Consider the following 13809-nt stretch of genomic DNA (forward strand, 5'->3'; position numbering starts at 1 on the left):
AAAGCTATGGGATTTTTGTTTATGCGACTGGAGCCCAGAATAGCCAATGCTATCAAACTTTTATGGAAAACACCCATAGATACCTGCACAAAATTTTTAATTGCATACACTTCTAAATAAACTAATCAGCTGTTTGGACATCAACTTCATCTCTGCAAATAGTCTTTTTGTTCAAGTGCTTTTAGCTTAAATGAAAAAGGAATAATTGGTACTCTAATTAGTGAAGGAGCTGAAATGGCAAATAAAAGGCTCTGGAAAGGGGAGGGGTTGAGAGAGGGGAGGAAAGAGTGAGATTTAAGGTCATGCAAAGGAAAGGTTGGATGTTAACATTTTAATTAAAATGATAGCAAAACATTCAACATGCTATTCTGCTATGGACTTTGAGTGGTAATGATGTATCAGTGTAGGTCCGGCAATTGTAACAAATATACCACTCTGGTGCAGGGCTTTAATAGAGGGGGAGGCTGTGGGTACATGGGGGTACAGCATGTTTGGGAGATCTCTGAAATTTCCACTCAGTTTTGCTGTGAGCCTGAAACTGGTTATACTTTTAATGCTTTTATGTTAAAAAGACTTGCAATAATTAATGAAGATAAACATTTATTCTCAAACATCTTAAAATCATGTGTACTATTGCCTTAAAAATCTTTTTCAATGTCCCCCCCCAAAAAAACAAGCAAAACACAACAAAACAAAAAAAACAGGAAGTTACTACAATAATTACTTGGTAATACGGATTATTTCAAGAAGTTACCCACAATGGCTTTTCTCCATTCTAACCACCCTACTTTCATTTAAACTATGTTCTTTCTTAAATCCATTGATCTAGTGTTGCATTTGATTTAATTTTAAAACAAAGCTTTAATATACCTCAAATCATATACCAAGTCCTCAAGGGCCTGGATATATTCCGCTTTGTTGGGTAGTAGGGCTGCATTTTTTTTGCATCCCATTTTTTACAGCCTGTTACTGTCATTTGGTGTTTGACTGTTATCATTATAAAAGATACAGGCTTTTCTACTTTGTTATTTGTAGCATTATCTCATGTTTTACAACATCTTTGCACAACATGCAGGCACATGAAATATAACTAGTGAAAAGTTCTCAGTGGTATTAATGCATAAAAAAGAATGTGGTTCCATCTCTACTGTCTTTACCCAGCCAAAAGCTGATGAACAGCCAATTTTCCTTTATCACATTAGCACAGCCATGAGGGAAACACATTTGTTCTAGTCAGCTACACTAAAGATACTATTACCAATCTAACATATACATGTTTTATATCAGCAGTATTCTCAGAGCATGAGAGAGCCAACAATATATTAACACTAGCATGACAGTTTATTTAAGAAAAGAAAATTGTCTCTGTAGAGGGACAGAAGTTAGAAATGTATGGCTAAAGCTCAGTGTCACTGGTCTAATAAAGGTAATAATTCTTAGGCTTTCTTTATAGCAGGTAACACTCCCGTGACACTTCTGTCATATCATTCAAATAAAAATGTTGTCTTTTACAAGTTTAAGTGCACCTTTATTTTGAGTCAGATAGAAAGCATGTTTTTGATTTTCTGTATTCACTGTATTATATCTGTTGTCAAGAGTTCAGGACCTTCTTTTTTATCAACTCATCACATATTTGCTTAGTAGAAGAATTCAGTGTCACTTGCAGTGAATTCCAGAAGGATATTTTCACTTTATAGGTACTTAAATAATGATTAATGATGATCCCAAGCCACTCTCTTCCATTGCCCCCTCCACTACCAACCACCTTTCCATACATAAGATTAAATCTTCCTTGGTTTTTCTGCACCATGTTTTATGTTCCAAGATTCTCTAAACTATTTTACAATTCTGATCTGGGGCCCCATCACCCTGAAGCTGTAAAGACTGAGGTGGATTTTTGCCATAGCTCATTCCGATGGTCCCCTTGCCAGTTATTTAAGGGAATACATACAATGGAATTTCTGATTTGTGAAAAGAAAGCCTTCTGCTAAAATAAACTTTGCACCTATCTCATTCTCTAGCCCTATGAGGACAAGAGGAGCTCGTGCATGTTTATTGGTGTGTCTTGAATGAATGAATTGACAAAAGCAGTAGCAGTTGTAGAAAAGCCTTTAAATCCCCTTCATAAGAGATCCGAAAACACTTTGGAAAGAAGATACAGAGAAGGTCATGCTCAAATCTTCATTCTCTTCAGTTTCATATTTTATTTTAACCACTTTTTTGGTCACATTTGTGTCCCTGTGATAGATTGTACTCATCCCTTTGAGTACAAGAGTACACTAGATTTTTTTTTTTTTAAGTAGAATTCTTGACACTATCCACCCATTCTCATGCTAGATTAGTGAGAAGTATAATTCAAAAGTCCAGAAAGTTACACAATATCTCAGTACCTAGCAAGGGGAAAATAGAATCGAGTCCACCTAGATTATAGTAATTTTCCACAATCACCTGTGCCACTGAAATGCCAGATCTTTGCTGCTATTTTACTCCTGCTGGCCATCAGAACTAAAAGAAACTGCTGACTCAGGCTGGGAAATAGAGAGACAGAATACCTGTGCTGAATTTGTTACTGGACAAATGGTAATCCCATTGCCTACATTCTTCTAATTTAAACTGAATTCATAAAGCATCAACTCGGTACCCACAGTGGCCCTATGAGCTACACCAACAAGAGTTAAGTCATGATCCTTTCTCTCAAGGAGCTTGTATGTATGATGACAACAAAATACATTTTAATATGCTAGATAGTGTTTGAATCACTATAAATGATGATGGTTGTTTCTAACTTAAATACTGAATCTTAATGCAGTCAAGAAGGATTATCTTTTCCAAGGAGTTGCTTTGAGAAATTATGTCTTAATTTGTTAATATATGTGGTGTATAACGTATTTTTGGACCTTCTCTGTGTGACTTGCTTTCCCAGAACCAACTTAGAAGCTTCCCAGGAAGAGCAGTTTTATTAATTTGGAGGGCCTCATTTAAAGCAAAACCATTTTATGCATTCAGAATAACACCTTTCTAATAGATTAACATTAAGCGATTTGACAACGTATCTTAAATTTAAATTTCCCCTTAAAAGATCATGATGGATGATACAAATATAAGGAACATCATTTTGAATGCTAAGAAATTCAAACAAAAAGAAAACCACTGTAATATGAATCAGAAGAGAAAACTTTATGGAGGAGAAAAGTCTTGGACTTTCTGAAATAGAAATTGCCCTGAAATAGAAATTTCTATTTCTAAGTGAAAGAAGGATTTGCATAAAAAGATTCCACTATTCCATCCATAATTTTTAAGCTAAAGTAAGGCAATGTATCCTGAAAACTCTATAAGTTTATTTTAAAAATCACATGTATGTTGTATTCCCCTACCTACGAACACGTGGAATCCCCACACATCCCATCCTATTGCTTACCATCCTAAACCTAAGGCCTTCTGAGATTTTTCCTCACTCATCTCACCCAATTTATTTCTAACCTTCACCAACAGCCGACCTCCAATCTAACTGGTAAAGTCTCCTCACTGTCTGACGATCACACACCACTTAATCTCATGATGTGTTCAAGCTATTTCCATATAGGCACTTAACTAAATTTTTAGTATTTTTCAAAACACACATCTCAAGTCCTCTCTTCTCCAATAATCCTTTGCCACCTACTTTGGCATTACAAAAGTAGTTAACATATATTAAAAAGCTAGTATGGGCCGGGCATGGAGGCTCACACCTCTAATCCTAGAACTTTGGGAGGCTGAGGCAGGCAGATCATGAGGTCAGGAGTTTGAGACCAGCCTGGCCAACATAGTGAAACCCCGTCTGTACTTAAAAAATATATATATATACAAAAATTAGCTGGGTGTGGTGGCACACACCTGTAGTCCCAGCTACTCGGGAGGCTGAGGCGGGAGAATCTTTTGAACCCGGGAGGCAGAGGTTGCAGTGAGCCAAGATGGCGCCATTGCACTACAGCCTGGGTGACAGAGTGAGACTCTGCCAAAAAAAAAAAAAAAAAAAAAGTATGTCAGACATTGTTCTAAAATATTTATGCATATTCATTCTTTTTAACTTTACAGTTACCTAAGGCAGGTTTACCTTTTTCTCCATTTTAAAGATAATTAAAAATAAGCACAGAGGATTGAAAACAAAAATTTGGCCAGGCACAATGGCGCGTGCCTGTAATCCCAGCACTTTGGGAGGCCGAGGTGGGCGGATCACTTGAGGTGAAAAGTTCTAGACCAGCCTGGCCAACATGGCGAAACTCCGTCTCTACTAAAAATACAAAAAAATTAGCCAGTTGTGGTGGTGCATTCCTGTAATTACAGCTACTTGGGAGGCTGAGGCAGGATAATTACTTGAACCGGGGAGGTGGAGGTTGCGGTGAGCCGACATCACGCCACTGCACTCCAGCCTGGGCGACAGAGTGAGACTCTATCCAAAAAAAGAAAAAAAAGAAAAAAAGAATAGCTTGGTGCGGTGGCTCACGCCTGTATTCCTAGCAGTTTGGGAGGCAGAGGTAAGTGGATCACGAGGTAGGTAAAGAGGTAAAGAGTTCAAAACCAGCCTGGCCAAGATGGTGAAACCCTGTCCCTGCTAAAAATACAAAAATTAGCTGGGTATGGTGGCACGAGCCTGTAATCCGGGCTACTCGGGAGGCTGAAGCAGAGAGTTGCTAAACCCGGGAGGCGGAGGTTGTGGTGAGCCGAGATCGCGCCACTGCACTCCAGCTTGGGGAACAGAGCCAGACTCTGTCTCAAAAAAAAAAAAAAAAAAAAAAAAATACTCAAGGTGCTATAGAAGCGTGACTGGTGGTTTCAGAGACAGTTTTAAATGGCAAATTTAATTAATAAGTTGCAGTCAGTTAGGGTTTTGAAGTAACAGTCAGTTTGTCAAATCCATCCATTTAGCATCTCTTCTATACCTCTACCCAGTGATGATTCAGGATTGGTGTCACCACCTCCCACAATAGGAAAGGTGACATCCCCTGTGTACTATAACCACTTACTTACTACATGCCCCTCATTGTGCTGAACATTTTCCCTATATCATCCCACTGCCTTCCCAGATCGCTGCTTCACAATGGTGTTGTCCCCACTTTGCAAAGGAGGACACTCAGGCTAAACTGTGCTAGTATTCTGCCTCTGCAGATTTTGGGAACGCCTTTCTCTCTGAACAGCTTTTACTATTATATGTAATTATTATAAATGATTGAACCCAAAGGTATCTCCTTATAACTTCAGTTCACAAGTTCCAGTTCTAATTATTGAGACTGCACCAAACAAATTTAATCCCTTTTCCATGTGAGAGCTTACATAAATGTAAAGAAGGATGTCATTCCTCTCCTAAGTCTTCTTCAGGATAAATGTGTTTAGTTTCTGTGATGTTCTAAATATGACATAGTTTTTAGTGTCTCTCTTCTTAAAATGTGGCTCCAGAAATACTACAATCTCTAGATGTGGTCTGACCTGTCAAACTGGTACAGGATTGTCACCTTAATACAATTCAAAATTGCAGGCTAGATTTTTGGCAATGACATCATGCAGCTAAAACTGATAAATTAAGTTGAGCTGACTATTAACTAAAATACTGTCTTTTTTTTCCTGCTTACATCAACAGCTAATTCACATCTACTCAATGCTATACATGTACAGTTGGCTTTGTGGACCCAAAGGTAGGCATTTATATTTATCTATGTTATATTTCATCTTGTTAGATTCAGCCTATTGCTCCGAGCTGTCAAAATCTTTTTGGATGCTATGTCTGTCATGCAGTGCCTTTACCATCCCTCTAACATTTATGTCATTTGCAAATTTGATGAGCATGCTTTACCTGCTGGACAGAAGCTTAATAAACACTAACTGATTGATCAACTAATTGATACCCCGAAAATGAAAACAACAACATGAACTATGTGATGTTACAACTCTAAGCAATAAAGAAAAGGCACCGTTTTCTAACAAAATGTGTCATACTGTGATTCTTCACATAACTTTTCAGAGTGGCCTTGTTTACTGACATGAATTTTTATATAATTATAAATGCTCCAGTTTATTAAATATTCTCTATTGAGTGACGTTTATACAAACAATATGAATAAGTACTTGAGGAAATTATTCAGGGATAGTTGCTTTGGCAGAAATTAACCAGGTGGGTGGCCCACAAATATTTGTAATGTTTGGAATGTGTGTGTGCACCTGCTACTAGTTTGACTGAATAACTGCTTAAATTTTATTTGTTTTGACTATGTTAAAGGTGCTATGGAAAAATGAATTCATACACAGGTATGCCCCTCAAAGATTTTTTCTTGGTTTTGTTTCTGTTTTGCATTTTCCATGAGCTCCTGGTGTTTTATTTCAACACATTTTCCCTCTGTCCACTTCTCTCCATTCCCACACCTTCACACACCCCAAACCAACATATACACTCACTTTCATTTTTTCCTCTCTGAGTAACTCAGACAAGCCAAGCCAGGCTCTTGAAGCAATCTACAGAAAAAGCCTACGTGTATTACATTTGTGCCCTGGGTATGATTCTCTGGATTTGCTGTTCTCCCCTCATCTCTATTAAAGCTCTTCATATACTGCAACCTCCACCAAACAAGTCTCCATTTAATTGATCTTTAAAAATTTAACATAGGAATGCAAGTAGATTTTTTTTTGTCCTATCTTGACTGGATGTGAAACTCTCATGGCCTCTTCTTCCTACACATTTAGATTACTCTCTTCTCTCTACTGCCAAAAAAAAGCTATTAATTTACACATATACATGATGGAAAATCTGCCAACAGTCTGATTTATTGAATTCCTAAGGAATAGGGAGAGTTCCAGCTGGTTTTTTGTAGATACTGCTTAAAGAGGTGTCATGTACACTTCTACATTTAAGAAAGCTTTTGGTGCACACTTCATCACAATATTAGATACTCTTAATTATTTCAATATATCATTGTGCCTTTTTCTATTTTACTCATGGAGAACAGATGATTTCCAAAAGATTATCAAGTTAGCTGTAAAATACCTTAGAAAACTTTTTCAGCATGTTACATCCCAATGAGCTAGAAGTTACTTGTTATAACTACAATGTCCTCTCCTTAAAAGTGAGTCAACCTCTTTTGTCTCCCATGTTTATAAAGAAAACTGCTCTTCATACTCTCACTAAAATCCAATCACTTGTTTGAAAATGGTCCTGTTGTTTGAATATGAAACAAGCACATTATGATATGCTAAGTGTGATGCTACATATACTACACATAAGGGGTATATAAAGCACAGACCTTTTCTTCAAGGAATTTACAATCTGTAATAGAAATGGCGTATAAAATACTTTCAATGAAAGGAGGCAATATAATAAATAAATATGAATAAAGTGGTTAGGAACAAAGATGAGAACGTGAAAATATCTTGGAAGTCTCCTCCACCAAATATTTCCCTGTTACTCTTCTTCTCTCTATTGAGGTGTTCCTCAAGTAAGTTGTTTGTACTTCCTCTGTCCATTTTCTCTTTTCCCATTCTATCTGTAATGCAGCTCAATCAGTAGTTTCTGTTTTTTATTACTTTAAAAAATAACTATCTCAACGTTACAGGAAAGTCACAAGAGTAGTACAAAGAATTTTTTCTGACCCATTTGAGATTAAATTTTTGACCTAATGACCCATTCCCCCTGAATACCGCAACGTGTATTTGCTACAAAAAGACATTCTTTTACATAAGCACGATGTAAACATCAAAGTTATTCGTATATCATTACCATTTTATCTTTAAAGCCCATTCAAGTTTTGTCAATGACCCCAAAAAGTCTTTTATAGAAAAAACACCTCCAGCCCCAAATCACATGTTGCCTTTAGTTGTCATGACTCTAAGTTTTCTTTTGATCTGAAAGAGACACGTATGTTTATTGCGGCCCTATTCACAATAGCAAAGATTTAGAACCAACCCAAATGTCCAACACCGATAGACTGGATTAAGAAAATGTGGCACATATACACCATGGAATACTATGCAGCCATAAAAACTGATGAGTTCATGTCCTTTGTAGGAACGTGGATGAAACTGGAAACCATCATTCTCAGCAAACTATCGCAAGGACAAAAAACCAAACACTGCATGTTCTCACTCATAGGTGGGAATTGAACAATGAGAACGCATGGACACAGGAAGGGGAACATCACACACTGGGGACTTTTGTGGGGTGGGGGGAGGGGGGAGGGATAGCATTGAGAGATATACCTAATGCTAAATCATGAGTTGATGGGTGCAGCACACCAACATGGCACGTGTATACATATGTAACAAGCCTGCACATTGTGCACATGTACCCTAAAACTTAAAGTATAATAATAATAAAATAAAATAAAAAAGCAGTGCCGACCCAAAAAAAAAAAGAGTTCTTCAATCTTTCCTTGGCTTTTCTGATCTTAATACTGTTAAAGAGGACCGCCCAGTTATTTTGTAGATTGCCTCTCAATTTGGGTTTGTCTAATTTTTCCTCATGATTAAATTCAGGTGATACAGTGATCATATTATATCTTATCATGTCTTACATCATTTCTATTTGTTCCATTATTAATGATGTTAACTTTAATCATTTGCATTAATATATCTGCCAGGCTTCCACACTGTAAAAATACAATTTTCCCCTTTGCAATTAGCAAACATTTTGCGAGCAGATACTTCAAGACTGTATAAATATCCTATTGCTTATTAAAAATTCAATATATGCTTAGGCTTATTTTTATCTATATAGACTCATGAGTCTCTATTTTACTCAGTGGGATATAATTAATTACTCTCAATATGTATTTCAGTGCTCAAGTTGTTCCAGGTTTGGACAGTATAGACCCCATACAGCTGCATTCTGGATCATATTGACATGTTCTAATAATTCTTTAAGTATCTTCTTACTTTATGACACAAGATGTTCTAGGCTCATTTTGTACTTCCCCACCACAGCCCTGGAATCAGCCATTTCTCCAAGGAATCCTGGTTCCTCTAAGAGATGAGTGGTCTTTAGGAACAAAGATTCGGTGCTAAGTAGATTCGTGCTATTTCAGTGTTACTACTCCCAGGCCCACTCTCTCCCCTCAGTGGATGGCTGTAGGGACTATGGATATATAGGGAATATGAATATAGACAGATACTACTAGATAGATAGATTAGATAGAATCACACACTTACTTCTATATTATTTCTATAAACCATTGACCCTTTAACAATATGGGGGTTAGGGCACCTACCACCTGTGCAGTAAAGTCCCCAACTGCATTAGCCCCTAACAAGAGACTCAGTCTTATTTTTGGAGCTTTGAAACTAGGCATTGATTTCTCTTCTCTAGCTATGAAAGTCCTAGGTGGCATCTTCTTCCAACAGAAGACTTTTTCATCCACATTGAAATTATGTTGTTTAGTGTAGCCACCTTCATCAGTGATCTTATCTAGATCTTCTGGATAACTTGCAACTTCTACAACAGCACTTGCTCTTTCAACCTTGCACTTTTATGTTATGGAAACTACTTCTTTCCTTAAACCTTGTGAACCAATCTCTGCTAGCTTCCAACTTTTCTTTTGTAGCTTGCTCACTTCTCTCAGCCTTCACATAATGGAATAGTTAGGGCCTTGTCTGGATTAGACTTTGGTTTAAGAGAATATTGTAGCTGGTCTGATCTTCTATCCAGACCACTCAAATTTTCTCCACATCAGCAATAAAGCTGTTTCAGTTTTTATCATTTTTGTGGTCATTAGAGTAGCACTTTAATTTTCCCTCAAGAAATTTTCCTTTGCATTCAACTTGGCTGTTTGGTGCAAGAGGACTAGCTTTCAACCTGTCAACTTTCTACATGCCTTCCTCACTAAGCTTACTCATTTCTAGCTTTTGATTTCAAGTGAGAGAAATGTTACTCTTCCTTTCACTTGAACACTGAGAGGCCACTGTAGGGTTATTACTCGGTCTAATTTAATTTCAATATTGTTGTGTCTCAGGGAACAGGGAGGCCCAAGGAGAAGGAACAAGTCAGAAGAACATTCTGTCGGTGGAGAAGTCATAACACACACAACATTTATTGGTTAACTTTGCCATATCATATTGGTGTGGTTCATGGCACCCCCTGAAATTATAATAACATCAAAAATCACTGATCACAGACCACCATAACAGCTATAATGATTGGAAAAAAATTTAAATTTCTGTGAGAATTGCCAAAATGTGAAGCATACACAAAACGAGCACATGCTGTTGGAAAAATAGCACTAATATATGACATGTTTGCCTGAAGCAAGGTTGCCATAAACCTTCACTTTGTAAAAAAATAAAATAAAAATAAAAATAAAACACATTGTCTGTGAAGCACAACAGAACAAGGTGAGCTAGCAACTACTGGACACTCATTTAATCTTTATCAAATGAATGAAGCTTCATCTAAACCAACTCTTGAAGGATTAATATGATTTAGCAAAGTATGAGAATATAGAGGGTAGTGAATAAGTTGTGGGAAAACAGAAAAAAACAAGAAGGAATAAAATTTAAAATGATTAGGTTACTCCAAGCCTTCTATTGATCCTGATAAATCCCTATTCTTTCAAATATTCTTTTCATAAAATGAATATTTAAATGTGTTAAATTTAAAATCACCATTTTCACTTTTCCTCAAAATGTTTATAGTTTTTTAAAAATCTCTTAAATCACAGTAATACAGTTACATATCATTAGGTCAGATTATGCCTGAAGGAAAATAATGAAAATAGTGGTCATTGGATTTCTGTTTATACTTCCAGGGAATAAGCCAAAGTATACCAAGAGATGTGAACTCACTGCTGACCCCAAGTCAGAAGGGCCATCAATCAGGCCCTCAATATGTAGACAGATATATAGAAAATCATTTATCATGCCAGCACTCAATGGATGTCATAAAGATCCTAAACAGTAATTTGTAAAATTTGTAGAAATAGTCCTGCCATATAAACAAAACAGGGGTGAATGCTCACTTACACTGTGCATGAGTTATATCTGCTAAAATCTTCAACAAGGGTAGAACATCCCATTATATAATAAATAAATAATGTATTAATTTTATATTCTTAAAAGAAAGGCATGCTTTTCTGTAAGTACCTATGCTTCAGCCATTTTGTGTCTTCTTAGATTTTTTCAGCTCCAGTAGACAGTACTGAGCAAAATTTATTAAAAATATGCCTCAAAAACTAAATGAAGAGCCATGTTAAACAAAAGGAAAAATCTGAATCTCTTTAAGCTCCTTCAGAGAACTGTATTATGAAATATGATTTGAATTGTTTGTTTAAATAAATTCTAGAATTGAGAATAATACCATTATTGTGGCCATTGTTTCAAGGTAGTCCTTTCTGATCAAAAGCTAGAGAGATAGTAATTGTCTAAGCAGTTTTTGCACAATCAGTCATGGAGAAGTGCACACATTTAATTTGTTTGCACCAAAAAAGAACAGTAGAAAACAGTCATTAATTTAAGGTAAGAATATATCATCCCTGAATACAAAAGTAGGTATTTACGGGTCAAATGCAGAATATTCAGTGAACAGTTTCCTTTCCTCCCTTCACAATCACACAGATAAGATAGTGGCATTGATTTAGACAAAATAAGTCAATAGTTTTTGTTATCATCTGAAGAACTTCATACTGGTAATTACTCTTGAAAATAATATTCATTTTGTCTTTTTATCATTTATATTTATTCACTCCAATTCTGACATGTTTCTTCCCAAACCATGTTACCCCAGGTAAGCAGCAGCTGAAAGAAAGGGAAGGGGAGGGGAGAGCAGGGGAGAGCAGGGGAGGGGGGAAGAGAGAAGAAAGAGAAAGAAAAAAAAAAGAAAGAAAGAAAGAGAAGGAAAGAAATAAAAAGAAAGAAAGAGAAGGAAAGAAATAAAAAGAAAGAAAGAAAGAAAGAAAGAAAGAAAGAAAGAAAGAAAGAAAGAAAGAAAGAAAGAAGGAAAGAAAGAAAGGAAGGAAGGAAGAAAGAAAGAGAAAGAAAGAGAAAGAAAGAGAAAAAAGAAAGAGAAGGAGAGAGGAACAGGGGAGGGAGGGAAGGAGGGAGAGAAATTTGGTGGGGCTGTGTGCTTCGGATGGTTCTGCCTTCACAAAGCCTGGCTTAGCTTGCCTCAAAGGTGGACATGCCTCAGAAGGTGAAGTCCAGGAAAAAAATTTCTTGGTGGGAGAAACATTTGCATGCCGATTTGACTCTTAAAAAGAAAATTAATGAGCCTAAACTATTTCCAGATATCTTTAGAAATAAATCAATAATGAAGGTTGATATTAAATGGTGAAATACTTAAAAGGTAAAGGTGAGAATGACTAAAGTTACAACATCTAATATTTTTTTAAAAGTGTAACGCTCATTTTCTGTCACATAATACTGTTCAGGATCTTTCATTGGTACTTTACATCTCCTAAGACTTACAGCAATGGACATTTCTAAATTAGCATCACTTCCATTCTATGTAAATATAATCAAGGTAGTTTACCTCTACCCTCCACAAATCCACCTTTGAATGACTACTTACGAGTTTTCAACTTATGCTGAGATCACAGGACTTCTGATGTTTTCTTAGAACAAGATGTAGGGATGAAGAGATATAAGGTAGCTGAGTCTTTACTGTCAGATCTCAGTTTACATATTGACACCTCAGAGAGCCCCCGAATACCCACACAAGCCTTAATAATCACTCACAAACTTTGTTATAGTGTACTATTTTAATTCTCTAGGTATTATTTTTCTCTCAATATGTTTCTTATTTGTTTGAGTTTTTTTTCTTCCCTCACCCACCCCTCACCAGGCACACATGTATGCACCCAAACAAATAACATCAGCTCTAATCAATTCACTGCATTCGTCTCAACATCTACTAATAGAACAAAGCCCATTTGACTAGAAGACTCATTTCTTTTGGCAACTTTACCAGAATTCTTTATATTTTTATAATTTTTTTTCTCCATCTGTTTTCATTTTCTGAAACTTTTTGTAGGTGGACATTGGATCTGTCTGCAGATGTGTTTCTATTCACCCTAGATTGGATTTGATAATTGTGGGGCAAAGGCAGGTATGCAATACAACTTATTTTTTAGCCATGGGGACTCCACTACATCCTAGTCCCATTCACCTGCCTTCCTGTGGCCTTAGAGCCCACACTCTGTGCTCCAAAATCAGGTCAAATCTTTCCACTCGCTGATGCCTGGTGATGGGAAAGAGCATGAGAAGCTGACCCAGACTGTCACTCCAAATGCTGTTTGCAATTCCTGTCCCTGGCAGTCACACCCACATGTCCCCTGCCCATGGAGGCTGTAAGCTCTATGCGTGCAGCACCAACTCAGTACTCTCCTCTGCTACATTTCTCTCCTGTGTGTAATTTGGGCTGGTTTCCTTTGCCAATCTAATTTCATCTGCTTTCTTCTTCTAAGGATTTGAGTAAAAAGTTTTCATCATGATTGTGTTCTTTTCCATACTTCACAGTAATAGCATCTTCAACCAGCTGCTAATGTCTAATCAGATTAAAACTGTAAATCTCTTTCTCCAGCAAAAAAAAAAAGCAGAAAACCAGTTAACAAATTGTAAGAAGTATATACAAGTGCTACTTAAGTGCTTTATTCATGATGCACTTGAGATCTCAAAATTTCACTGTTCCATTAGACTTTTAAACTACCAGGAATCAGTGTCTAAGTCATTTATACCATCAGAACAGCTGGATGACAGCAAGTTGTCAACAGATTTCCCAAGGATTTCTCTGAGGAACTAGAGACTTACAATGGGGAGAAAGTGTCATTCCATCTGAATCCAACCATTACATCAATTGACCTG

The 13809-nt window shown here is 36.7% G+C and overlaps 1 protein-coding gene across 2 annotated transcripts in view; it reads right to left on the reverse strand.

The window, feature by feature from the left end:
- The window catches only part of USH2A (usherin), an 800558-nt gene that overhangs the window by 743034 nt on the left and 43715 nt on the right, over positions 1 to 13809 (reverse strand). The gene's annotated exons all lie outside the window — the stretch shown is intronic.

The sequence above is a fragment of the Homo sapiens genome, chromosome 1 (assembly GCF_000001405.40).
Source record: "Homo sapiens chromosome 1, GRCh38.p14 Primary Assembly".
In the NCBI taxonomy this organism is placed as follows: Eukaryota; Metazoa; Chordata; class Mammalia; order Primates; family Hominidae; genus Homo; species Homo sapiens.